Genomic DNA, 24938 nt, shown 5'->3' with positions numbered 1-24938 from the left:
ATCTCTAGGATACAGTCAAGACACCTGCACCCCTGACTCAGCTCCCCCACCCCGACTCAGCCCTTCTGCACCCCCGACTCAGCTCCCCCACCCCGACTCAGCTCCCCCACCCTGACCCAGTTCCTCGCCCTATAAAGCCCTGCCATAGTCTGTAAGCAGGGCTGCCTCCTCTGCTGTTGTCAGGAGGTAGCCCGGCAGGACTGACAGTAAATCAGCTTGCCTGAACTTGGGTCTACTGGCCTCATTCCTTTCTCGGCTGTCCTTCCAATTATCCCTTACAACGAGCAGTTGCTGTTTGTGCCTATGCCCAGGAGGGGCTGGCCTGGCAGGACAAGTGCCCTCAGGTCGCAGGGTTTTGCTATTGCCTTGGGAAGGGGCAGGCTCTGGCCTCTCAGGGCACCTGGCAGGTCTGACTTCCCTCCCCAGACGCGCAGACACCGCAGGGCCTGCGCCTCCCACACTCAGGTGTCTGTGCCAGCCTCTCCGTCTCAGTGTTCACATCTGTAGAATGGGAGCAGGACTTGCTGACCCCAGGGCCTCCTTAATTCAAACAACCTGAACATCAGCCTCGTCTCTCTTTCTTAGGGGTGTCAGGGGAGCCAGAGGGGGACTCTGCAGAAAACCATAGAACCGACGCCAAACCCAGCTCATGAGTGAAACATTCCTCACTCCATGTCCGTCAGCAAAGTGCGTTCTTCTAAAATGTCTGCTGGCCTTTCCCGGGTGCCAGGCACGATCGGGGGCTGGCCACACCATGGTGGCCGAGCAGGCATGGCCTGTTTTCAGGGACCTACAGTCCAGTGGGGAGGCAGACATCCCCTGCCCCAGCTGTGACTCCAGCTACGACGAGGGGACGGACCTATAGCTGGGGCGTGGCCTGGTCTGTGGACAGGGCAGGTGGTCTGGGCGGTGGGAGGCTCTGTCCACCAAGCCCAGACACCTGGGCTGCCATAGGTGCCAGGCATGGGGCTTGACTCTGGGCCTGCAGTGCCCAGCGTCGTGGCCATATGTGAGTGACAGGGAGATGGGCTTGGACCCCGGGAAACCATGGTCTTGATGAAGGTTTGGGCAGGTGGGACAGGCTACCTACAAGGTGCATGTGCGATGTGTGTGACTCACTGTGAGGGGCCGGCGCTGGGCTTGCACACAGGGGGCAGGGGCAGGGCTGCTCAACAGAGCAGGCAGCCTCCAGGGAGGGACCCTTGTACTGGACCAAGAAGGGGTGTGGGCAGGACCAGCAAGGGGATGACAGAAGTCCAGGATGGGGGCTGCCTCGGTGGGCAGAGAGGTGCCTGAAAGCCTTCCTCCAGCCATGGCCTGGGGGCGCCTGAGGACAGCCCACCGTCCTTCCTGGGGGTGGGTGTACAGAGGGGCTGGCCCAGCAAGGTCCTCACCTCCACTGTCACCAAGGCCCTGTCCGGAGCTGGCCCAGAGGGAGGTGTTGCTGCTGGCCTTGAGTGCTGGACGGGGCGGTCTGGTCGAGGGGCTGGTCAGCAGGTGCATGAACAACAGAGGCCTGAGCCTGTCCAACCCTTGGTTTCAGACCGGAGAGATGTGAGGGTTTGGCTGGTCCAGCCTGGTAGTGGCTCTCCGACCTGGGGGGTTCCCAGCAAGGCTCCAGCCCACCCCTGGCGGGGGTCTGAGCTCTGCTTAAGGAAATCATAGAAAAGTGCTGAGCCCCAGATTCTTATTCTTCTTGATCTGCACTCAGAGGCTGAGCCAGAGGCGCAGGGAGTGTCACAGCCTGTGTCCAGACTGAGGGGGATGCCAGGGGCCAGGCCCTCTGAGCCTCTGGGTTCCTTCCTGTGGGTATTGACTATGCGAGGGTTTGGGGATCTGGGTGGACCCCACATGAGTCAGAAATCAGTGCCCTTGGGGGAAAGACAAAGACAGAGAGGGAGACACAAAGAGAGATGGAGAGACAGACAAAGAGACAGAGAAACAGATATTGAGAGACAGCAAGAGACAGAGACACAGCGAGGGACCGGGATGAAGAGAGACAGAGAAAAAGACAGAGACAAAGAGACATAGAGAGATAGAAAAAGATAGAGATGGAGGAAAAGAGACAAACACGCAGAGAAATAGAGACACAGAGAAAGGACAGAGAGAGACACAAAAAGAGACAGAGACACGGAAATAGGCTGAGAGACACACAGAGGAGAGGGCAGAGAGACTGCCTGGCTCGCCCACACCAGCCCCCTACCCCTACCCCTTACCCTTGGTTTGGGGCAGCCGCTAAGCATGACGCTGGCCTCCCACCAGCACCGCCAAAGAATGAAACGTCCCAGGAACTCGGCCACGGAGGGGAGTGAAGACCTGGATCTTTGGAGGAACCAAGGAATGTTCTTGGCTTCCTTCCTTTGACATTTTGTCTTGTTTTCTGGGAAACAAATGGGAACGAAAAGCCCCCTCCCACGTTTTGGAGGCTGGTTTGTAGAAACAGGACAAACCTGGTAACTTCAGAGTAAGCAGAGAAACTGTCAGAAGTCAGGAGAGCGAAGTCAGATGGCCTGGCAGGACAGGCTTCCCTGCCGTGTGCCCCGCCACCCCACCCCGTGTTTTCTGTTGCTGCTTCTGCGTTTCTGGAAGAGGCAGCTTTCCTAGGGCACACCCAGGATGCGGGCGGGAACGGTCTTTGTCATCAGCCGCACCTGACTTTGAATCCAGACCTGGCTCCTGGGCCTCCCACAAGCTCCCCCGGGTCTGTGACTCTGTCCCTGCGGGGTGCATGGTCCCCGACCATCCAGGCCTGGTGTCTGCAGGAAGGGTCTCTCCACCAGCAGTGATGGTGAGGGCGTTGCGTCCTGGGCTGATGGCAGAAGGTGATGGGGCCCTTCTGGTCCAGCGGGGTGACCCCACTTCTGGAAACAGTGTTAGTGACTTCTTCACCCTGGGGTCCTGTGTGGGAACCTTCAGGGCCTCCCATTGCCAACTTGCCGGCCCTTCCAGATGCCTGAGTCCCTCTCCAGCTTGGGTCCCCAGGGGGCTCCTGGCTGGACAGGAAGCTCTGAGTGCCCCGTAGCCCTTGCTCCTCAGCTGAGCGTGGAGGGGCCCTCCCTTGCCCATTGCCTGGAGCTCAGCTCAAAGCCTGCATCTCCCCCTTCCATCAGCCTCAGGTCTGCGTGCAGCCTCCACCCGACCTGCCGTGCCGCCTCCCCTTGGAAAGGCCGTCTCTCCTGCCAGCGGGTCCTTTACCCTTGTAGCATCTCCTGCCAGAGACCAGGGCAGACTTGGGGGAGAACCTTCAGCTTCATGTGACCCAGAGACTCCTGTATGCCTGGCTCTGGGAGTACAGAAGGGCCTAGAGCTGACCCCTGCCCTCCGAAGCCCCTGGGGCACTAGATGGATGTGTGCCAGAGGGTAGTAGAGGCCTGGGGGTAGAGCCCAGCACCCCCTTCGCGTAGAGACCTGGGGGACCAGCCAGCCCAGCAACCCCCTCGCGGCCGACGCCTGAGGCTGTTCCTGGCTGCTCCGGTGGCTGCCAGAGGGGACTGCCGGGTGACCCTGGAAATCCAGAGTGGGTGGGGCCAGTCTGACCGTTTCTAGGCGACCCACTCTTGGTTTCCAGGGTTGCCCTGGAAACCACAGATGGGGAGGGGTTGATGGCACCCAGCCTCCCCCAAGCCTGGGAAGGGACCCCGGATCCCCAGAGCCTTTCCCTGCCTATGGAGCGTTTCTCTTGGAGAACAGGGGGGCCTCTCAGCCCCTCAATGCAAGTTGCTGAGTGAGGACAGCAGTCCAAGGCCACACACTGCTGGGAAAGGCCACACCGTAGAGACAGCAGAGGTGCCAGGGGTGAGGAAGGAGGGAGGAAGGGGTGAATAGGCGGAGCACAGAGGATTTTTAGGGCAGGAACTCCTCTGCGTGATCTTACAATGGTGGATCCAGGCCATGAGACACTTGTCCAAGTCCATGGAATGCACAGCCCCTAGTGGGCCCTGAAAGGAACCCTGGACTCAGTTAACAACAATGTGTCAACGTGGGCTCGTCCGCTGTACCAAGCGGTCATTCCAATGGAGGATTGAATGATACAGGAAATTATGTGTGTTGGGAGAAGGAAACTCTGTACTTTCTGTCCAGTTTTTCCATAAGCCTAAAAGTGCTTTAAAAAATAAAATCTATTAGTTAAAAGAAAAAAAAAAAGCCCAGCCTTCTTTGCCCTCTGGGACTAACCTTGCCAGGCCCTCTCCTGCCCTGAGAGCACCTCCCGACTCCCAGGAGATGGGCTCATCGTGTTTCCTTTTTTTTTTTTTTTTTCTTTTATTTTGAGACGGACTCTCATACTGTTGCCCAGGCTGAGTGCCATGGTGTGATCTCGGCTCACTGCAACCTCCGCCTCCCGGGTTCATGCCATTCTCCTGCCTCAGCCCCCCGAGTAGCTGGGATTATAGGCACTTGCCACCATGCCCAGCTAATTTTTTGTATTTTTAGTAGAGATGGGGTTTCACCATGTTGGCCAGGCTGGTCTTGAACTCCTGACCTCGTGATTTGCCCGCCTCGGCCTCCCGAAGTGTTGGGATTACAGGCTTGAGCCACCGTACCCGGCCGGGCGAGTGCTTATTTTGGTGCTTTCTTGCTTGGTGCATGTCCAGACGCCTCCTTTCCTGTGTCTTCCGCAGAGGATGGCTCTGCGCTTTCAGTGTCTGGGCTTCATACTCCCACCGTCCCACTCCCAAGCCACTGGGTTTGTAAGTGTGATTATCACAAGTGTTTGCAAGTAGACTTCTTCTTTTTTTTTTTTTTTTTTTTTTTTTAAGAGACAAGGTCTAGCTCTTTGTCCAGGTTGGAGTGCGGTGGCACAGTCATAGCTCACTGCAGCCTCAAACTCCTGGGCTCACATGATCCTCCTGTCTCAGCCTCCCAAAGCACTGGGATTATAGGTGTGTGCTACCTTGCTGGGCTGCAAGTTGATGTTTGAATGGTCAAATGTCGAGGTTCCTAGTGGTGTGAGGAAGCTCTTCTGTTGCAAGACCAGTAACCTAAATTAGGAGGAACCACCCCATGGAAGGTAGTAGTTTTGGAATGACTTCTCAGGGCCTGAGGTTTAAGGACGGGGCAAGTGGCTGCCATGCCGAATGGCCTTAGTGCACTGCAGAGGCCCCCAGGGTTCCTCCTCCAACCACCTTGCAGAGTGAGCTGCCTCCCAGAGCTCCCAGAGCTCCCAGTGCAGAGGGAGGGGATGAGTGATGGAGAAGAATCTTCTAAGATATTCGGTTTTATTTTTCATTTTTATTTTTGTTTGTTTTGTTTTGAGACAGGGTCTCACTCTGTCACCCAGGCTGGAGTGCAGGGGCACAATCATGGCTCACTGCAGCCTTGAACTCTTGGGCTCAAGTGATCCTCCCCCTCAGCCTCCTGAGTAGCTGGGACCACAGGCACCCCATTATGCCCAACCAATTTAAAAAAAAATTGTAGAGATGGTGTCTTGCTGTGTTGCCCAGGCTAGTATTTGTTAGAAACAGGTGCTCAGCGCTGCAAACAAGAACCAGCACTTAGACCAAAAATTTCTCAGCAAGGCAACTTCACTTCTCAGCAAGGCAGAAGGGTGCTGCTCGCATCCATCACGATCGCAAGAGCACACCGAACAGAGAAAGGAAGGGATTTTTATCCCTAACGCAGTTCTGGTTTCTGTGTTTTTCCCCTATTGGCTGCAGTTGGACCGCACAACCTAAGCTGATCCCAGTTGGCTTAGAACGAAACTCTTTCCAAATAGGGAAAACGCACGTCTTGCGAGCAAGAAAAAGGGAAGTCGGGGCAGGAAGGGGGTAGGGTTGATTTACAACCTTACAACTTATGACCAGGAAGTTGAGTCTTTGAGGAGGGCCTTAGTTGTCCCAACATATTGAACTCCTGGCCTCAAGTGATCCTCCTGCCTTGGCCTCCTAAAATGATGGGATTACAGGTGTGAGCCACCGCACCAGACCTAGATGTTCAGTTTTAGAAGAAAATTAGAAAGGAGGTCGACACAGTCACATGTACATTTATGCATGACCAGTTGGTGGAGTGGGAGAGAGAGGAGGGGACGAGAGAGGCAGGGACGGTGGCACTGCACAGTCCTCAGAGTGGAGAAAGGAGAAAAGCTGGTCAGGCAGTTCCTGGAGCTGTCACCTCGGTGACATTGGACCAGGAGAGCTGGGTGATGTGTGTCCTGCAGGCAGTGAGTGCTGAGGGTCTGAAGGAGACTCTGAACTTAGCACATCCAGATCGTGACCACCGGCCCGGCTGAACCACTGCACGGAGCGGGGAGGGGAAGGCCAGCTGCACCGCGGAAGCATGCTTCCTATGCAGAGGGCTCTGTGTGGCTCCTTTACACAGCAGACCACCCAACAACACTCACGATAGGGCTGAGCTTTCGATGTTTGTTTCCTGAGAGCCTGTGGAGACACCCAGCCCTCTTGACTGCTGTGCCCACCCGGACGGCGCCTCATAGATTAGACGGTTTTCCCTGAGCCTGTGCAAACGACGTCTGCCCACGGGCCGCTTCTTCTGGGAGGCCTTCCCTGATATGCCCTTCTGCACTTTATCCCCTGAACTCCCCCTGCTGCTGGTGCTTCCTGGGCCCCCCGTCTCTCCTTGCCAGGGCTGGGCATCCCTCGGTGCTCCGCAGCGCTGGCTGTGGGAGTGAGCGAGGGATGAGCGGGCCCTGTGTCCGGCTCCCTGTGGCCTGTGCCAAGGTGGGGCGGGGTCTGATGGGAATTGGGGTTGGAATGTTCTGGCTACCGCAGGCTGGCAGGGCTTCTGAGCTGCAGGCGCAGAGATAACCGCCCAGCGAGGTGGGCACGTAGCCTGGACGCCGGGCTTGCTTAGACAGTGGCTCCTCCTCAAGACCCCTCCAGGCCAGCCTGGCCGGGCAGGATGCCCTCGCCACCCTGGGAGCCAAGGGCAGCTGCAGCCGGGAGCAGCCTGCAGAGCTCTGCGGGGGAAGCTGCGTTCTGTTTGTTTTTCATGGTAAAGGTTCAATTTTTCTTTTGCTGCCATGACAAATGGTTAGAAGTGTAATGCTTCAAACAGCACAGATCTGTGATCTCTAGTCGTAGAAGGTAGAATCCCAGCTCAGGTCTCCCTGGGCTTACGCCAAGGTCTTGTCAGGGCTGGTCCCTTCTGGGGACCCAGGGAGAGTCTTGCCGTCTCCCTGCCTTTTCCAGCTTTTGGGGAGCTCACACGTTCCTTGGCTCGTGGCTCCTTCCTCGTCCTTCCAAGGCAGCAGCGCCCGTCTCTCCTGGCTGCTGCGATGTCCTTGCCTCTCTCTCTGACTCCGACCTTCCCTCCTGCCTTCCCCGCATCCCCAGCACCCATGAAACTCCATGTGATTCCACCAGGCCCCCCAGATAAGCCGGGATCGGCTTCCTAGGTCAGGTCGGCTGAGGGGCTGCCTTCGTTCTTTCCACAGCCCTGGCTCCCCTGTACCATGAGGCAGCCTCACCATCCTCACCCGGCAGGCTCGGCAGTTTTTAACATTCTCCGGTCTGTGAGCGCGTGTGGTTGGGACAGGGACGTGAAGTACCTGCATCCTTGTGTTTTCACTGGAGCCTCTTCTGCTCTCCAGTGTCCTGTTTTGAAGGATAACGTACGTGCCACCCCTTGTCCACAATGGAGCTCTTAAGCTGCCTGCAGTCTGCTTGGTGGTCAGTCCTATTCGTCTCCAGTGTGTCCCGGCCTCAGGCAGTCACCGGGTCCTCTGTCCTCTCATTTGCAGGTAGTTCCGCTGCTGCAGCCTCTGTGACCCGCTCCTGACTCACTGGAGTGGGAAGCAGGCAGAAAACCTGGTGGGCGGCCGAGAGGAGGCCCAGGGCGTCTCTTGCTTTGCCGAGGTTTCTCCTACCCCTGCTGGCTGTGGCTCCGTGAGGAGGTCCCGGGCCAATTTGGTTCAGCCAGCCGGCGGTTTTGGATGCGCCACTTACCATGAAACTTCATGTAATGAGTGTGACGTTGTCACCTCTGGGAGCTCATGGGGGTGTCTTTGTGCCAAGATCATGGAGTTTAATTCTGACCTGGCCTGCGGGCCTCACACAGAGCTCTAGGTTATGTATGGGGACCCTGCCCCACTCCCCATCCTGGGAAATCCTGACGGGGCTTGGGGAGCAGAGCATGGACTCACAGGGTGGCCCAGCAACAGGGACGTGGTTCACTTAGCACCTGGGCCACGGAAGGCCACTCCTGCTGTAACAGGTGGAGCCCACCCCCAAGGTCTCTGAACCCAGCCCACCTTGGAGAGGGGCTCCCCTGGCCACGGACTCCAGCTGGTTCCAGGGCCAGCCAGGATCCCGTGAGTCCTGTGGGTGGGCGGGCAGACTTGAGATGTAGCCAGTCCTAGGTGGACTTGCAGCCACAGTCCCTCCCCCAGAGATGATGGGACAGCTTGAGTTGGAGACTTATTTGGGGCACTTTCTTCTTGGACAGATGCTCAGAAGGATGCCAGCTCAGTCTTCCAGGATACCTCGCTTCCTTGGTTGGGGGCAGGGGCAAGTCCTGCCTTTGGATGCCGCCGCTGGCCCGGCTTTCCAGGTCTTGGCCTGAGACCCCAGGAGGAGCTTCTGGCATGAGCGGCAGCAGGCACCTGACCTGGCAGCCCTGCGGGGCAGGGCGGGCTGGAGAAGGCTCCTCTCGGCCCTGCAGGCTCCTGCTGTTTCACTGACGGGTTCAGCTCCCTGGGGCCCCCTTTGCAGCCATGAGAACCACAGGGGTCTTGGTTCTAGTCGTGGAGGATGGGGGCCGCAGGCCAGACCCCAGGAGCTCTGCCGTCTCCTGCTTTCATTTCTGAGCCGCCCACATTAAACACGGCGCCCTCAGTGCTTACAGGAGTCGCCTTGCCCCGGCTCTCATCCTGCCTGTACTTTCCTGTCTCGTCTGGACATGGGTGGTGGAGGCCCAGAGCGGCTTGGGGGTCAGCCACACCCAGCGGCCTGAGGCCATGCCAGCCTGGAACCTGGCCCTCAGGGCCTCTGCCCTGCCTTTGGGCACCTGGCTTCCAGCTGAGCGTGGGTGGAGGCGCAGGGAGAGGCCTCCTGCAGCTCACACCCTCTTCGTGCCCAGCTCCTCCTGCTTGCTGTCTTTTTGGGCAGAAGAGGCCCCTTCTCGGCCCTGATCCATAGCCCTGGGTGGGTGGGTGGGTGGGTGGTGGGGACCACCTGTGCTTCTCTCCGGCCAGCAGGCCCCGTGCGTGGGGTGTTGGCCTGGTGGGATCCAGGCTTTGGTCTTTCCTGCTTTCTCCCATTGCCCTGGACAAGAGGGTGTGGCTGGGTTCCAGGACGGGAGAGGGCCGGGCAGGACCTGGGATCAGCCCTTGTCCCACTCCCCTGCCAGCCGCCCTGTCTTTTCCCTGAGGGAGCTGGAAGAGGCCAACCCCCAAATCAGTGGCCCTAGCCTCCACACTGTGGTTTCCAGAATAGTGGCCCCGCGATGTCCACAGCCTAATCTCAGGGAACTGTGACCTTTACCTTGAATGGCAACGACTTTGTAGATGTGATCACTTTCAGGAATTTGAGATGGGAAGGTGGCCCTGGGTTGCCCAGGTGGACCCTGAATGCTGTCACTCATGTCCTCATGGAGGGAGAGAGGCTGGCACAGGAGAGGAGGGGCAGGGGGACCTCAGAGACAGAGGCTAGAGTGAGAGGATCCAGTTGTGGGAGAGGCTCTGGAGCACCTGCCTGGGGGGCCCAGTCATTCTCACTTTGGACTTCCGGCCTCTAAAACTTTAAGAGAGGCTTCTGTTGTTTAAGCCACCTGGTTAGTGACACTCTGGTACATCAGCCCCAGGAAAGGGATGTAGCTGCCTCCTGTAGCAGCTGGGACCCTGGGGCCCTTACCTGACTCCAGGTGAATTACCTGCCCCTCTTCCCCCAGGCTGAAGCCGCCCTCCCCTCTCACCGGGACACCTGGAGTGCCGTCCCCCTCCCGCCTGGCCCGGCTGGGTCCCCACCCCTTGTTAGACCCCGCTGGCTTTTCCAGTGTTCCTGCCATCCCCCAGCGACACTCTCTCGGAGCCGCCTGGTCGGGGCGCTGGTTGATGCTCCCAGCCCAGTGTTGGAACCCAGAGTCCTCACCGTCTCCTCCTGAGGTGTCGTCTTAGTGCCCCTGCCCACGGCATGCAGCAGGGTGCATGGCAAGGGGGTCACGGTGGCTGCCGGGGGCGGGATGGGGCGCATGTGCTCTTCCCCACCCCAAGCAGGCGTTCTGGAAGCAGGCGCCAAGCTTGTTCCCCACAGGACACCAGGAGGCATGTGGGCCCCACAGAGCAAGCTCGCACAGGGCCCCCCGCTTGTCCCTGCCCCTGAGGTGTTGGCGGAGGGGAGCAGCTGGGTTCCAGGCAGAACATTCCTGGGGAGGAAGACCAGGCAGGCCCCAGCCGTGCCACCCACCCACGTCGGCACTTTCTGGTGTGCTGGCCAACGGGGTGCTCCCGGGCCCACCTGTTCCCAGAAGTTGGACCTCTGAGGCACAGCGGGGTGAGAGGCTGCCCACCCCTCCTGAAGGGGTGACTTTCCAGTGCAGGGCCCCCTGTGAAGCCCCCGATGCCTGCCGCTGCCCTGCCTCTCCTCTGGAGCCACTCGTGGTGGACTCCGGGCCAGCTGGTTTTCGTCAGTGCTCCTGGCTGAGGTTTTGGGACCAGCCCTGACCTGCCTGGGTGACACCAGTACTGCAGGCTGGGAAGATTCGTGGCCTCCCGGGCAGGCAGGGCCTCGTAAATCCTGCTCCTGCCATAGCCTGAGGCCCAGTGGGCGGACTTGGCTCAGGGATCACCATCTCTGAGGACAGCTCCCCTGCCTGGGGTGTGGGGAGGCCTCTCTCCCGTGGCTCCAGCCTCTATCCTGCATGGTGAGGCTCCCCCTCCTCGTCAGCTCTTCCTCCTGGGGCTGGTGGGGGGCGGGAGGGTCTCTTGCCTGTGTCCCCGTCCCGCCTGTTCCTGAAGACTCTCAGGAAAAGACCCAGCACGCCCAGGGGTAGGCAGCGGGGGTCCTGCTGGAGGCGCCAGGCTCACAGGGTACCCGGAGTACCCTGGGGTGGGGGGAGCTGGGCAGGCTGGGCCCCTGGTGGGAAAGCCGATCGGCCGTGGATCCCCATCCTCAGGCTGGAGCCAGGGAGGGAAGGAAGAGGATTTGGGGGGTCAGTGGGGGGCGGGGCTTGTGATGGGGCAGCCTGGCTCCAAGGCCCTGGTAGTTAGGCGGAGCTTGGGGCCTCCCTGTACCCTCAGAACAGGGCTGTGCGTTACCTTTGAGGCCCCTGGCCACCAGCCCTAGTGGCAGCTAGGTCTGTCTGGAGGGGATTAGGGGCTGGGCACCTCTCAAGATGTCCTTGGGGCCTGGCCGGGCCCTGGGCCTTGGACTGAGCCTGAACTCTGAGGGGGACCTGGGCAGCAGCATCTGATCTGTCCACTGGTGGGGCCTCGGGATGAAGCAGCAGGCTTACCTGGTGGGGGACTGGAAGACCCAGCTGGGCTTGGAGGGCAAGGTGGCTGCAGAGAAAAGTGGGGGGTCTGGGCCCGGTGGGTGAGCACAGCGGCCCTTTCCCTCAAGCCACCCTGGCAGGCTGTGGCCTCCTCATTTCCAAGGGAGCCTCCCAGGGTTTCTTTTCTTTTTTTAGAGACAGAATCTTGCTTTGCTACCCAGGCTGGAGTGCCGTGGTGTGACCATACCGTACTGCAGCCTTGAACTCCCGGGCTCAGGCCGTCGATCCTCCTGCCTTAGCCTCCGAGTAGCTGGGATGACAGGCGTGCGCCACCACACCTAGCTAATTTGTTATTTTTTGTAGAGACGGGATCTCATATGTTGCCCAGGCTGGTCTCAAAGTCCTGGCCTCAATAGATCCTCCGGCCTGGGCCTCCCAGAGTGCTGGGATTACGGGCGTGAGCCGCCACGCGTGGTCTTACCAGGATGCCTCAGCGCTTTCTTGGCTCTGTCCTAGACCCCAGTCCTGTTGCCCTCCTGGCATCAGGCGCAGCCCCAGGCAGCTTGTGTTCCTGTGGGGGCCTGGACACCTGCCCTCGCCATGTCCCCACAGCCTGGAGCAGGGAGAAGGCCCTGCCTGGGAGGCTGGCCCTGGTGGGCGGGGTTGAGTGCTAAGGCTCCTCTGTGGCCAGGTTTGCATTCTGTGCCTGGGGCTCGGGCATAGGGAGGCTATGTGCTCGTCAGTGGAGTGGCAATCCTGAGGGGAGCCACCGCTGGGGTCCTGAGGGTTGGGTGAGAAAATGCACCCAGAGTTGAGCCACAGTTTGGCGTGTCCAGAGCAGGGGTCCCCTCCCGTGCCTGGGCTGATGGTAACGTTGACTTGGGGACAAGTGTGGTTCAAGGGGCTGGGATTGCTGATGTCTGAACGGCCCACCTGGGCACCCAGCAAGGCTTGGTCGAACAGAGGCACCAGAGGGAGCTCAGCTCTCAGGCTTCTGCGTGGAAGCTTGAATTGGGAGGTGACAGGGGTTTTACAAGTGCCGGAGGCTCCCAGAGGGTGGCCTCGGGCAGGGTGATCACCTGAGTGGCTGGTTTTCCTGATGGAAGTCGCAGCCCTGCTGGTTTCTGGATGCCCCCATCCAGCTCCCCCCATCCAGCTCCCCCATCTCGGGCTCCCCTGCAGTGTGGTGTGTCTGGGCAGAGGGGTGTGTGGGGAGGGTTGGCGGGGTGCTGTCTCCTGTCCCCTGTGGCTGTGGCAATATAAGTCAGAGCCAGCCTGTGACCACTGAGAGGGTGGGAGCTGGACCGCATCCTGGGAGCATGTGTTGGGTCTGTGTTGACCTTGTGTCTGGCCAGGGAGGGTTTCCAGCCAGCCTGCTATGGGGTTGTATTGGCCACATGGCCAGTGCCTGGTCCCAGGGGAGGCACTGCCCAGAGTGATGTGTGGAGCTGGATTGGCTCAGGGCCTGATGCTGCCCGTTGACTTGGAATTTGGCGAGAGTTTCCCCTGGTGGAGGCTCCCCACATCCCACCCCTTTGGCCCCTTAGGTCCTGTCGTCCCCAGCAGCCTCTCCCAGAGTGATTCATGCTGGCTGAGACCCCTGGGGTCTGCACGCAGGAGCAGGCTGACACCAGCTGCTCCATCCCCAGGTGTGATCCTAGGAAACACTTTGTCACCTGCATGGGGCGGGGCCACCCCCAAGCGGAGCCTCTGGTGTCTCACCACCACGGGGGCTGGGTCTGGCAGCCTCACATCTGTGGGGCATCTGGCCTGGTATAGGCCAGGAGGCTGGCATCGCTAGCGGGGAGCTGCCTGGCCACATGGCCACGCGGGCCCGGCTCTCAGAGCTGGGATCCACATCTTCTTCCTCACCTGCCTCACACTCCGAGGCCCCAAGGCACACAGGCAGCTGCCCAGCCCTGGCCGGCTGGAGCCTCGGATCCTGGCCCTGTCCACACCTGGCGGCTGATCTGAGAGCCCCACTGTCACACCCGTTAGGGTCTCCTGCCAATGGACTAGCACACGGGGGACACTGGCTCCCCCAGGGTGAGTGCACGGGCGGTGGGGGTGTGGGCCCCCTCTTGCTCCCCTCGGGTTCTCACTCTGCAGCCTGTGCTTGCTGGATCGGCTGCAAGGGCTGGGTCTTCGGAGCCCTGCCCCGGTTGGGTGGCTGCTGGGCACTTGTGACATTGCAGTCACTGCTGCTGAGTTAGGCCCCTGGCATGGGGCCAGATCCGGCACGGAGCACCCCGGAGGCCTGGGCACGACCGCTTCTTTCTGTATCAAAACTGCTGGAGAAGTGAGGTGCAGAATCCAGTCTTGGGATGACGTTTTTCTCTTTTTTCTTAAATGAAGGTGAAATTCACATTGCATAAAATAACCCCTTTGAAACATAGCGACCCTTTGTGCATTCATCGTGCTATGCAGCCATCACCTTTATCTCATTCCGAGACATTTTCCTCACCCTCCCAGGAGACCCCAGACCCGCCAGCTGGTACGCCCTATCCTACACTGTGTGACCTCTCGAGATGGGCTCCTTTCACACAGCACGAGGTTTGAGGTTCCTCCTCGCTGTCGTCCTCCATGTCTGTCTTCATCACCCGCTGGTGGGCACCCGGGTGGCCTCCCCTTTCTGATGGCTGTGGACAAGTCTGCTGTGAGCGTGTGCACACACCGTGGTTTGAGTCCCTGTTTCTATTTATCTTGGGCAGGTGCTTAGGGGTGGGACTGCTGGGTCTGTGGCGCCTCTGGGTATGTCTTGTGTCGGGAGCCGTTACTTTCTGCTGATAGAAAATTCCCGGGATGGGGAGGGCTGGGGGCATGGAGCCTTCCCCTCACCACCCTTCAGGCTGGACTCACCAGGTGGCATCCACGATCACTTCAGCTCTGGGGAGAGCGGGGACCCCTGGGTTGGGGCTGGCGAGAAGTGGTGAGGGCAGCCTTTGTGAGTCTCCAGGTGAAGACTCAGAGCCTAGCCTGGTTCTGACCTTCGACCGCCCACCCGTGCCTGTGCTTGGATCATCCCTGGGAGAAGCTGGAGCAAGGGGCCTGTCTGGTGCCCACGTAGCTGGGCTTTGAGAGGCCCCTGCTCAAGACTCACCTTGTACGGGAAGGCTGGTCAGCCTCCGGGTGGTTCCCTGGGCTGCAGTGTTGCCTAGGTAAATTCCAGGCCATAAGTGACGCCCATAGCCCGAGCTGGAGCCCTTGTGGGGCCAGAGAGCGGGGTGAGCTGTGGGGAGCAGCGGGGCCAAGTCGCCCTGGATATCCCATGCCAGTGTCTTCGGTGAATTGATGGACCCTTCTGCATGCAGTCAACCAACGGGGTGCCTGCCGCCAGCCAGCCCAGACCCGAGCATGACCATGTGCCCCCAGAAGCCCCCAGGCAGCCCCCCATCTTCTCGCCTAGACTGGAGCCCTGAACACCCCGGTCCTGGGTTTTGGAGGAAAGAGAGGCTTCTGCTGGCTTTGGGGAGGAGCCGTCACCTGCTTCTGGAGCTGAACTTCTCCGTCCTGGGCCCTGGTCTGCCTGTGGCCATGGGGCATCAGTCTGCGTGGTGCCCAGAGTTCCAGCCCAAGCCTGAGGGGTTGGGGGAGCCCCAGCTGCCTTGTCGGGCTCTGGCTTTTCTCCTGGTGGCCGGTCCACCTGCAGCTTCTTGAGCATTCACCAAGGGTCTCCTGCGGCCCTTGTGGGCTTGTTCTGGGCTGAGCACGGGGGCCCCGAGACTAGGGGGGCCAGTCCCCACCAGAGCTTGCATGGTCTGGCTGGGGACAGATCACCCAGCGCGGAGCCACGGGGATGTTAGAGCTCAGCCCGGCCTGGGGTGGAGGCGGCGCCCGCAGGTACCCAAGGCGGGGTCCCAGCCAGCATGGAGATGCTGGGGTTGGGGGCTTTGGGGGAACAAGGGGCGATTGCAGCCTCAGTGAGGGTGACCAGGCAGCGGTGGCTGTCCTGAGTGCCAGACCCTGCAGCCCCTGTGCCAGGCCAGGCTAAGGGGCTTTTCCTGTGGGTGTGGGGGGGTCCCTGAAGGCCCCCAGCTGCAGTGGGCTCCTTTCCCCGTGGAGCCTAGCAGGGTCGGGGTGGGTGGCTGTGAGGCTGCCCCGGTGCTGGGGACCTGTGCTCACATGGCCAGCTGTGTTCCAGGCCTGGGAAGCTGGGGACCCAGCTGTGCCAGCAGCTGTGTGGAAGCTCATCTGGCGTCCAGCCCCACCTGCCTGGACACCGCCCTCCCAGCCACCTGGCCTCAAGGCCCCAGTGTCAGGACAGGTCCCAGAGCTTGGGTGCCTGCCCCACACCAGAGGAGGGGCTGCTGCTTGCCTGCCAGGGCAGTCTGTCGGGGCCAGGCAGACAGGGGACCCTGGGCACCTTGGCTCTGACCCCTGGCCTTGGCCAGCCTCCGTCTCGCCCTGTGTAACTCTCTAGGAATTCCCAAAAAATTCCCACCATGGACCTCCGCAGGGCTGTGCTGACAGCTGCATTCCAACAGTCCGGAGACGGCTGGCCTGCATTCCGCTTGGCCCGTTCTCATGGGACTGTGGCCGCCCCGAGGCCTTTGGCCCCGCCCGGGGCTCTTCCAGGGCCCGTCCTGAGGAGGTGCAGAGAGAAATGCCCCCGGCACTGGGGAGCTTTGGGCCAGCTCAGGTCCGGAAAGGCCCGCGCTGTGTTCCGTCTGTCTGGGGTGCTGGTGGGAAAGGTCGGCCTCATCTTCTGGGAACAGCACCCTGTGGGCTGGGCTGGCGTCTGGCCATCTGCGTCCTCAGCATGCTGGGGGCTCCACTGGCTCTGAGCCTGCCTCCAGGTTCCGATCCCCATGCAGCTGGGGAGGGCCTGGTCTTTGGCCTCTAGAGGCGGGGGCACAGGGGGCTGAACATTCCTGGAAGTTTGGATGGTGCAGTTCAGCAGGGGTGGGTGGGCAGAGGCGCCTGGTCCCTGCGTCACCTCAAGTTGGGTCCCACACCTTCTCAAGGCAGGTCACTTGATTCCCTTCTTCCCTCGATGCTCCTACCAGCCCAGTCACTTGTGTGGGGAGGCAGTGACGCTGCCTCTGCCCAGGACCAAGTCCCGGGGGAAGTCCTGCTGCCTGAACCAGGCAGAGGCGCACCCCGGGAGAACTGCCACATTCCCGCACCCGCAAAGACGGAGGGCGGGCTAGGGCATGGGCTCTGGGTCCTGGCAGGCTGGGCTCAGCAACTTGATGTGGTGTTCAGGGCTCCTAACCTGCTCTCCAGGCCCAACTCAGATGCCACGTGATCCCCAGAGACGCGCCAGGAAGGGAGGATGGGGCCTGGGGCTGTCCGAAGGCGGGAGGGGGAGTGGCTGTGCAGGTGACAGTGAAACTCCTCCTGGCCTCAGAGCCAAGGGAAGCCGGGTTTTTCCTGAAAACCCACAGCTGTGGCAGACCGCTTGACCGGAACACACACGGCAGCCGATCTCTGGGGACTCACAAAAAGGGTGTGGCTGCTTTACGGGAGCAGGGCCACCTCCTCTGCCAAGCTATACCCAAATGTTGCTCCTGAGAGCCACACCACACTGAAGGCCCGGGGAGAGGCCACCTTCCCTGGGAGCGAGGGAGGGACCCGTTCTGCAGTGCGGCTCCCCTGCTGCTGGGTTTCCACACCCAGCCTCCCTCCTGCGGGGCCTGTTCTGGTGGACAATGTCCCCTGTGCTGTGGGGAGCCCTGAGCCTCATCCCTCTGAGGCCTCGGGTGGGCCGAGGCTGGAGGGAGGAGGTGGCCGCGTGGCTGGCACCTCACCTGCTTCTCCCCTCGCAGATGTGGGTGAGTGTGCCAACGCCAACGGGGGCTGTGCGGGTCGGTGCCGGGACACCGTGGGGGGCTTCTACTGCCGCTGGCCCCCCCCCAGCCACCAGCTGCAGGGTGATGGCGAGACTTGCCAAGGTAGGGCATGGCCCAGCCCACTGCCACCCTGCCTCGGCCTCCCTTCCCAGCCCACTGCCACCCCGCCTGGCAGCCCCCTTCCCAGCCCACTGCCACCCCGCCTGGCAGCCCCCTTCCCAGCCCACTGCCACCCTGCCTTGGCGGCCTCCCTGGCGCCCCCTTCCCAGCCCACTGCCACCCCACCTCGGCCTCCCTGGCAGCCCCCTTCCCAGGCCATTGCCACCCCGCCATGGTGGCCTCCCTGGCACCCTCCTTCCCAGCCCGCTGCCACCCCGCCTTGGCGTCCTCCTTGGCAGCCCCCTTCCCAGCCCACTGCCACCCCACCTCGGCCTCCCTGGCAGCCCCCTTCCCAGCCCATTGCCACCCCACCTCGGCCTCCCTGGCACCCTCCTTCCCAGCCCACTGCCACCCCGCCTCAGCGGCCTCCCTGGCAGCCCCCTTCCCAGCCCACTGCCACCCCGCCTCGGTGCCCTCCCTGGCACCCTCCTTCCTGGCCCACAGGCTGCTCCAAGGGCTCCACTCGGGGTACTCCTCACCCAACTCGCTCCCCACTCCTGACATTGCCTCTGTGGGGACTCAGAGGACCTGGTGTTGGTGGGAGGCACCTTGGGGGCCATGCAGGAGGAAGGAGGGGCGGGCAGGGATGGCTCAGGCAAGACCTGGGGCTAGAAGCGTTTGCGAGCTCTAAGCAGACCCTGTAGCTCAGCCCCACCATGGCTGGCAGGCTGGCAGCAAAGTCAAGGACAGACAGAAGGAAAACCCACTGGGAGAGATGAGAACAGATTAGGATTGAGGTGGGGGAGGAGGCCGAGGAGGGTGGCAGTGGGGGCCCCAAGCTGTCCCCATCTCCCACTCACACTCCTTTGCCTGCTCCAGCCTCTGCCCTGGCATCTGACCCTGGGGTGGATCTGGGCAGCCTGGCCCCTGGGAGAGTCCTCAGGCCTCTGCTCTGCTGTCCCGGTCAGACACTTACTGTCATCATCTCCCAGAACTTCCCTTGCCAAACGCAACGCTGTCTCCAGCTGTCCAGCTGCGAGCCGTTTGGAGGGGGGCAGGGGCCAGCCTGCTGGACTTGGGGTCAGGGGAGGTGGGAGGGGCATCTGCTCTGTCTGGGATGTTCTAGAAACAGATTCTGTGTGCTCCTCTCCAGCCTGTGCTTGTGGCCAGCGGGAGGCTGGGGGAGGGGAGAAGCTTCTGTGACCCGCGGAGCCTGGGAGGCTTGGGAGCCCCGGCTCAGTGAGGAGGGAGGATGGCTCCACCTGTGGCACAGTCCCCGCCAGCTCCCGGACCCCCGCTCCATTCTGGCTCTTGCCTTGGTTTCTGTGAAAGGGGCTCCACTGGGGTGGCGGAAAGCCCCAGAGGCTCCAGGATGAGCCAGGTGCAGGTGGAGTTGGGCAGGATGAGGGGAGGAGAACCCCCTCCCAGACCCGTGATGAGGAGGGGCCCAGCTGCTATGCCTTCTCTCCTGCAGGGCCCCCACCCTTGTCCACTCCAGGTATGGGATGGCCCCAGGACTTGGCCACCTCCACACGTTGGAGCTGGAGGTTCCGACCCACCGAGGAGCCTGTCCCAGGTGGGACGCAGGAGGCGCGGGACAGCTTACATTTTCCCCCCTGCGGCTGCCTGTGCAGTCCCTCAGAAGGGTCCACTCAGCCCCCACCCAGGGCTGCTCACTGGCAGGGACTGAGGTGTCAGGGTGAAGACCAGACCCCCCTACCTGGTCTCTGGCATTCTGGGGGGCCTGTGCTGAACCGATTTCACCTCAACCCTGGGGAAGAAGTGCACCCCTCTCGGGCTGGTGTCCCTGGGGCTAGGAGTCCCTGCGGAGGCAGCACGAAGACCCGCAGCGGACACAGGCACCTTCCCCGGCCCCTGAAACTCCCCTGTTGTAACTGATGGGGTGGGGGCCTGTGTGTCCTAGGGAGAGGGCTGGCCCCGCCGCCAAGCCATGGGACACAGGCAGCTTCCTTCTCCCCCAAGATCCTTGTATATGCCCCCCTTTAAAGTGGGGGTGCTCACCCAGCTGGGGTAGGGAGCAAAGGGCGGGTCACTGTCCGGTGACCCGAGTCATCCTCCCGAGGTCAGCCTGGACCCAGCCCTGAGTGCCACCTGCCCCCTCGGCCACCCTGCCCCCAGCTCCAGATGGGCTCCTCTGCCCCGCTGTTCCCCGGCCCAAGCCCGCTTGTCTCCCCAGTTGCTGCGTGGGGTCTGAAACCCCACTCGATGGTGTGTGGGAAGCCCTGGGTCTACCAGGCCAGGGCTGGTGCCGGGCCTTGGTGGGGCATGGTGTGGTCTCAGTGCCTGTGGCTGGGAACACCAGGCAGAGCAGAGTGAGAGGCCCAAGACCCTGCTGGGGGCTGCCTGGCAGGTTCCCGATGCTCCAGGGCTGCGGTGTGTGGAGCACTCCCCAGGCTGGCCAGCGTCTGCTGGTGTCGGGGCCTGTTCCAGCAGCCCCTGCATGAGGGCAGGCTCTTGAGGTGACCCAGGATGCTGCGTGGGGGTCCCTCCTAGGAGGAGCTCCACTGACCCAGGCCAGCCCAGGGAAGCCAACGGAGAGGCCCCCGAGGGCCCCTGCACAAAGGCTGTGCTCCGGGGTTGAGAGCACCTGTTACAGGGTGCAGACGGTGCTGGGGGCAGAGGGGACAGGTGCCGCCCTGCAGCCCCAGGAGCCCCTGTTCAGGTCTGTGGGCTCCAGAGCCTGGTCAGGCTGGCTGCTGTGATGCTGAGGGGAGAGGGTTAGCCTGATGCCGCTGCGATGCTGGGGGGAGAGGGTTAGCCTGATGCCGCTGCGACGCTGGGGGGAGAGGGTTAGCCTGATGCTTGGACCTTCCGTGTCTCTCTCAGCCTGGGGTGGTGGTGGGCCCTGTAATGGGGTCCCTGGCAGGTGTGTGTCAGGCCCCGGAAGACAGACTGACCACACTCCCGCCTCCTGTGTCAGCGAGTGGTGCGGCGCGCAGAGGCTCTCCCGCGATAGAGCGGCTCCGGGTGGTGAATGGGCTTCCCACTGCCCATGGCCAGAGCCGGGGGTCTCCTGATTCGTGCTCTGGGGCTGCCGGCCGTGTTTATGCCCCTCCAGGGCTGACGCGGGCTGGGCGTCCAGGCACGGCAGGTGGTGTGCCTCTGGAATGTCAACTCCATGACAGACACTGCAGAGCCCAGCATGGTGACGGCAAACACATTAGGCCCGGGCCTCGACCCGTATCCCTTCAGGAGGTGTTGGAATCTCTCTGCCAGGGGTCCCTATGGACAGAAAAGGTCTTTGCCATCTGGCAGAGCTGGCCAGAGGCAGAGGCGTGGACCGGATGACCCGGGGCCAGCCAGGAGGCTAGACGGCATCTCGGCCAGGGACCGGGCCACAGACTCTGCCTCCCAGCAGTGCCGACGCTTCCTCTCCTGCCCCGTCCCTGGCCTCGCCCCGCCTCCCGCCCGGGGGTTCTCACCCCCAGCTCTGCGTGTTTGGGATGGCTAGGGCTCCGAGTCACCGTGTGGCCGAGGGGGCCCTGCCAAAGGCCAGGAGCCTGCTGTGTTTTCTCTGTCCCTCTGCCAGCCCAGCCTCCCCCAAAAATGTAGTCTTGCCGAGCGAGTGAGTGAGCGCATGGCTCAGGGGGTGCCGGCAGCCGAGAGTGAGCACGAACGCAGGGTTCGGGCTGCTCAGAGCAGGGAAGGGCCGCGTTGCTTGGTCACCCGCAGGGCCTGGGGACCCCTGGCAGGGCAGTGTGTGCCAAGTTGATGGGGTGGGCCCGGAACCTGCTTGCAGTGATGACTCGGCCCCATCAAGCTCTGAGTGAGTGCTGGCACAGGAGACTGGCCTCAGGGTGCCCCGGCCCTGGGAGCGTCTCCAGGCCAGTGTGTTTGTCATGTTCTGGGAGACTGGCCTGGGGCAGGAGCTGAGCTCTGCTCTGCTGGGCTGGGCAGTCCGGAGTGGGCTCATCTCCCAGGGGAGGCTGGGTGCCTGCCACTGCTTCTGCCATTTCCTGGGCAGGGCACGGCCTCTGACATGTGCCCACCCTCCTCCCAGGCCCCTGGGCAGGTGGGCTCAGGCCTGTGCGTGCCAGAGCTGGCAGGCCCTGGGGAGGAATTCAGGCTCCTCTGTAGAGCTCCTGCCCGGGCTGCCTGGCCCCGAGCTCACCTCCAGGATGGCCCAGGCCTTCCAGGGAAGCCACTTTGAGGATGCCACCACAGAACCAGCCGTTGGTGTCAGCGAGGGCCAGGTTTGAACTTCCCTTAGCTCCTTATTGCGTGGTCTTGGGCGAGTAGCTCTGCCACTCTGAACTCCAGTCTCTCTCTGTAAGATGCGGCAAGTCCTGCTCTCAGCCCTTACAGCAATCTAGAGGTTTTGGGGAAAATGCTCGGGGCCCACGGCCCGGGCTGCAGAGAAACCCCGGACAGAGAGGAGAGCTGCCCCACTCGTGTGGCCCATCTTCCCCTCGGCCTGGGCTCCCCACTCTCTCCACCTGCCTTCCTCTGCCTCCTCTTGACCATGGTCCTCGGGGACCAGGATCCCACATCAGGCTGAGTGGGGGGCGGCCAGGACCCTACATCCAGGCCTGGGGACCCCTGGCAGGTGTCCATGCAAGCCCAGCTTCCTCCCTCCACTGCCAGCCGGGTTGGAGTTCAGTCCTGTGAACATTCCCACCTATAAAATGGGTCCAACCCTCGCATTAAGCCCATGGTTTGGCTGGAAGACCACAGTGACAATGTAATGGGGAGAGGTGTTCTGTGCTGTTCAGAAGGAGGAAGCAGTGCTGCCTTTGGCCTCCAGGGCCGGGTGGACCCCACCCATCCAGGCCCGAGGGCTGCCTTCCCACACTGGGGCTGGATTCAGCCCCGACACTGTGCTGCTCCCACCCCGGCTGACCCCTCCTTCCAGGAGATAAGGACGGATCACGGGAAACGGGGCAGCCGGGGGTTGGGGGAGGCGGCCAGGCCGGGTCTGGGCGGAAGCAGGCGCCTTCTCTGGTGGAAGTGGCAGCTCTTCCTTCTCGGTGCCGGACCCGGCTCTCAGCTGCTACTTGGCCGCGGGGGCTTCCAGGGTGGAGCTGGGTTTTCATCGGAGTGTCTGTGGGACGCGGGTGGGCTCTGTGGGATGCCACCCTTCTCAAGAGCAAAGGGACCTGCTGTAAGGGGGTGAGCTCAGGGTAGCAGGGACCACCAGAGACTCCCCCCACGGTGCCCCCAGGGAGCCCCTGTGCCCGGGAGTCTGTCGCTCTGCCCTTCCCACCCATCCCCGCCCACTCTCTGCTGCCACTGTGGGCTCGGCCTTTCACACCCTTGCCTGCTGCCTGAGGGCACTGCCAGGTTCCCACTGTCCCCAGGGAGAGGAAGGCATGTGGGAAGTGACCGAGGGCTGCGGGCTAGGAAGCCTGGGCGCTGACCGGCTGCCCCCCTCGGGCCAGCTGTGCCTCTCCCGCGGAGCCCAGGCACGGGAGAAACGAGTGGGCAAGGGGGCCTGATTTGGACCCTGGTCCTGGCACCCAGGCCAGGTGCCCGCATGTCCGCCTGCACTCCATGAGCCCCTTGGTGCTGGAGCTTTTTCTCTGACCTTCCTGTGGGAGCAACACTTTGTCCCACCCATGGCAGGGCCTCCACCCAGGAGAACGGCATTTCCACGGGAGTCTCCTGGGGAGGCTTTAATGCTTCCAGGACTTTGTTGCTTCCTGGGACGATGTGCTCTTGCTGAACCGGAAGAGTGGTCATGGTGGCCGAAAGCCTCCGCAAGCCCTGTGCGACCCACACTCCATGCCAAGCCTGGGCGGCAGCCCCGCTCTGTGACGCTCAGTGCTGAGGCCCCCCACGGGGCAGTGCCATGGGGGATTTAGAGAATGGAGCAAGAGGCCCAGAGGGCGCAGGAGCATTTGCGGAGTCAGAGCTGGAGGGTGGCAGAGGGGACAGGTGCCCAGAGCCCTTTGAAGTCCAGGGCCCCAGCCTGCGCCTGGCCCCACCCCGCCCTGACACCTGGGCTGCTGACTGTTTGGCCCCAGGATGCCATCTCCCCTTTCTAGCTGGTGGCTTCTCTGGATGTGGAAGAGGCTTCTTACTCATTCCCAGTCCCCATGCCAGAAGCGCCCAGCCCTTAGTGGGTATTCCACAAACATCTGGTGCCGCGACCTGAATGTCGGTGTCCCTGCAAAATTCCTGCGTTCGAGTGGACTCCCCAGTGTGATGGTGTGAAGAGGTGGGGCCTCGTAGGCAGTGAGGAGGCCAGGAAGGCTCTGCCGTGGGGAATGGGATGACTGCCCCAGAAAAGATCGGAGGGAGTGGTTCCCTTTCTGCCCTGTGAAGCTGCCCTGAGAAGCTGCCCTGGAGGATCCAGAGGGCTGGTCTGCCGTGCCTGGATCTTGGACTTCCCAGCCTCTGGAGCTGTAAGACATACATCCAGGGGTTTGTAAATTACCCAGACTAAGGCGTCCTGTAGGAGCAGCAGGAGTGAACAAGCAAACACAGCTGTGGGGAAGGCTGCCCTCGCAGGGAAAGAGATGGAGGTGTGGTGAGGCCTCAGCATCCCTCGCCCATGGGCCCTGGAGCCCAGGCCTGAACCTGGGCCTTCCGGTTGCAAAGCTGGGGCCACGTTCCTGTGGGTGGCTGAATCTGGGCCTCCCCAGGCCAACATTCTTCAGCTGGCTGTCTTCCCAGTGCAGCGGGAAACCCGGCTGCAAGGTGTGTTCCTTCCAGGCAGGATGGCAGCATTTCCGACAGGGCGTCTGTGGTCAGAGGCCTGCTCCGTCCGAGGCGCTGCGAGTGAAAAGCTTTCATTTCCGACTCTAATGAGCACACCCTGGCAGGCACGTTCTCAGTTAAGGCCAAGCCGGGAAAATAATAGCCTTCAGCGTCAGCGGTGAGAGCCAGCCCAGCAACAGAAAGACAAGAGGCTTTCTCTGACTGCCTAGAACCAGGACGCTGGGGCAGTTTCCTGGAGGACACCCCGAGCTGGGCAGCCTGCAGGCATCTGTGGCCGTGCTCCAGATAAACACGGAGGGCTGAAGGGCTGGTGGGTTTAGGCAGCAGCCCAGAAGGCCTGGGTTTGGATCCCAGCCTCGATGCTGGACAGGTGCGACCCCGGGGGCCTGCGTAACTCTCGCAGGCTGCAGTCCTCAGACTTGGAGCTTGGGGAGGCTCAGTGGACACCTTCACATGGCAAAGCTCAGCGCACCCTGGGACCCTGGCCTGGCCCGGGAGCCATCTGTTGGGAAGATAAGCCTGGGCCTGGGAAGGTGACCAGTGGATGCTTCAGGCAAGGCCTTGCCCTTGTCCTAGAAGCTTCTGTCACCAAGCCAAGGGCCTCCTGGGCTGGGGAAACCGAGGCGCCCAGGTAGCCACTTTTCTCCAGTCCTCCCGGAAGCCCCAGTGGCCCCAGCTTGGTTTCCCAGGGGCTACTCATGAGGAGGTTGGGGCGATTGTGCCCCAGAGTCAGGGGCTGTGAACTCTCAGAACTGCGGATGCCTCGGGAGGGCAGGTGCCTCCTGCATGACCCGGGCCAAGTCACGTTCCCCCTGTGCCTCCTAAGAGTGGAACCCACCATTCCCTCCTGGCAGGGCCGAGGTGCTGAGCCAGGCGTGTGCAGGTGGGGCCGTGTTCCTAGGAAGGAGAGACCCGCTGAGCCCCCTGAGCCTCCCCCTCTCCCGTCGTGTTCCCTCTACTTTTATCTCCCACAGCCACCCC

At 61.9% G+C, this 24938-nt stretch overlaps 1 protein-coding gene, 1 long non-coding RNA gene and 1 other non-coding gene across 15 annotated transcripts in view, besides 4 other annotated features; 2 read left to right on the top strand and 1 right to left on the bottom strand.

Moving 5' to 3' along the window:
* MEGF6 (multiple EGF like domains 6) overlaps positions 1 to 24938 on the top strand; it is a 136836-nt gene that overhangs the window by 60510 nt on the left and 51388 nt on the right. The gene's annotated exons all lie outside the window — the stretch shown is intronic.
* On the top strand, positions 3487 to 3582 carry MIR551A (microRNA 551a). The gene has a single exon (NR_030277.1). It is a non-coding gene; the product is annotated as a microRNA 551a (primary transcript).
* Positions 13705 to 15797, bottom strand: LOC105378608 (uncharacterized). Its single transcript, XR_946886.3, has 3 exons — positions 14869 to 15797; positions 14486 to 14539; positions 13705 to 14024 (listed from the first exon to the last, which is right to left on the bottom strand). It is a non-coding gene; the product is annotated as an uncharacterized LOC105378608 (long non-coding RNA).
* Positions 16242 to 16880: an enhancer, noted in NCBI's record as "H3K27ac-H3K4me1 hESC enhancer chr1:3463961-3464599 (GRCh37/hg19 assembly coordinates)". NCBI's record gives its function as "activates a minimal SCP1, AML or CMV promoter by ChIP-STARR-seq in naive H9 embryonic stem cells {active_cell/tissue: H9 hESC(naive)}" and the evidence as "EXISTENCE:reporter gene assay evidence [ECO:0000049][PMID:30033119]".
* Positions 18186 to 18386: a silencer, noted in NCBI's record as "peak19 fragment used in MPRA reporter construct". NCBI's record gives its function as "represses an SCP1 promoter by STARR-seq MPRAs in K562 erythroleukemia cells {active_cell/tissue: K562}" and the evidence as "EXISTENCE:reporter gene assay evidence [ECO:0000049][PMID:32103011]".
* Positions 19893 to 20546: an enhancer, noted in NCBI's record as "H3K27ac-H3K4me1 hESC enhancer chr1:3460295-3460948 (GRCh37/hg19 assembly coordinates)". NCBI's record gives its function as "activates a minimal SCP1, AML or CMV promoter by ChIP-STARR-seq in naive and primed H9 embryonic stem cells {active_cell/tissue: H9 hESC(naive and primed)}" and the evidence as "EXISTENCE:reporter gene assay evidence [ECO:0000049][PMID:30033119]".
* Positions 20547 to 21198: an enhancer, noted in NCBI's record as "H3K27ac-H3K4me1 hESC enhancer chr1:3459643-3460294 (GRCh37/hg19 assembly coordinates)". NCBI's record gives its function as "activates a minimal SCP1, AML or CMV promoter by ChIP-STARR-seq in primed H9 embryonic stem cells {active_cell/tissue: H9 hESC(primed)}" and the evidence as "EXISTENCE:reporter gene assay evidence [ECO:0000049][PMID:30033119]".

The sequence above is a fragment of the Homo sapiens genome, chromosome 1 (genome assembly GCF_000001405.40).
Source record: "Homo sapiens chromosome 1, GRCh38.p14 Primary Assembly".
NCBI classification, from domain to species: Eukaryota; Metazoa; Chordata; class Mammalia; order Primates; family Hominidae; genus Homo; species Homo sapiens.
This window is presented reverse-complemented; position numbering and strand designations above follow the sequence as displayed.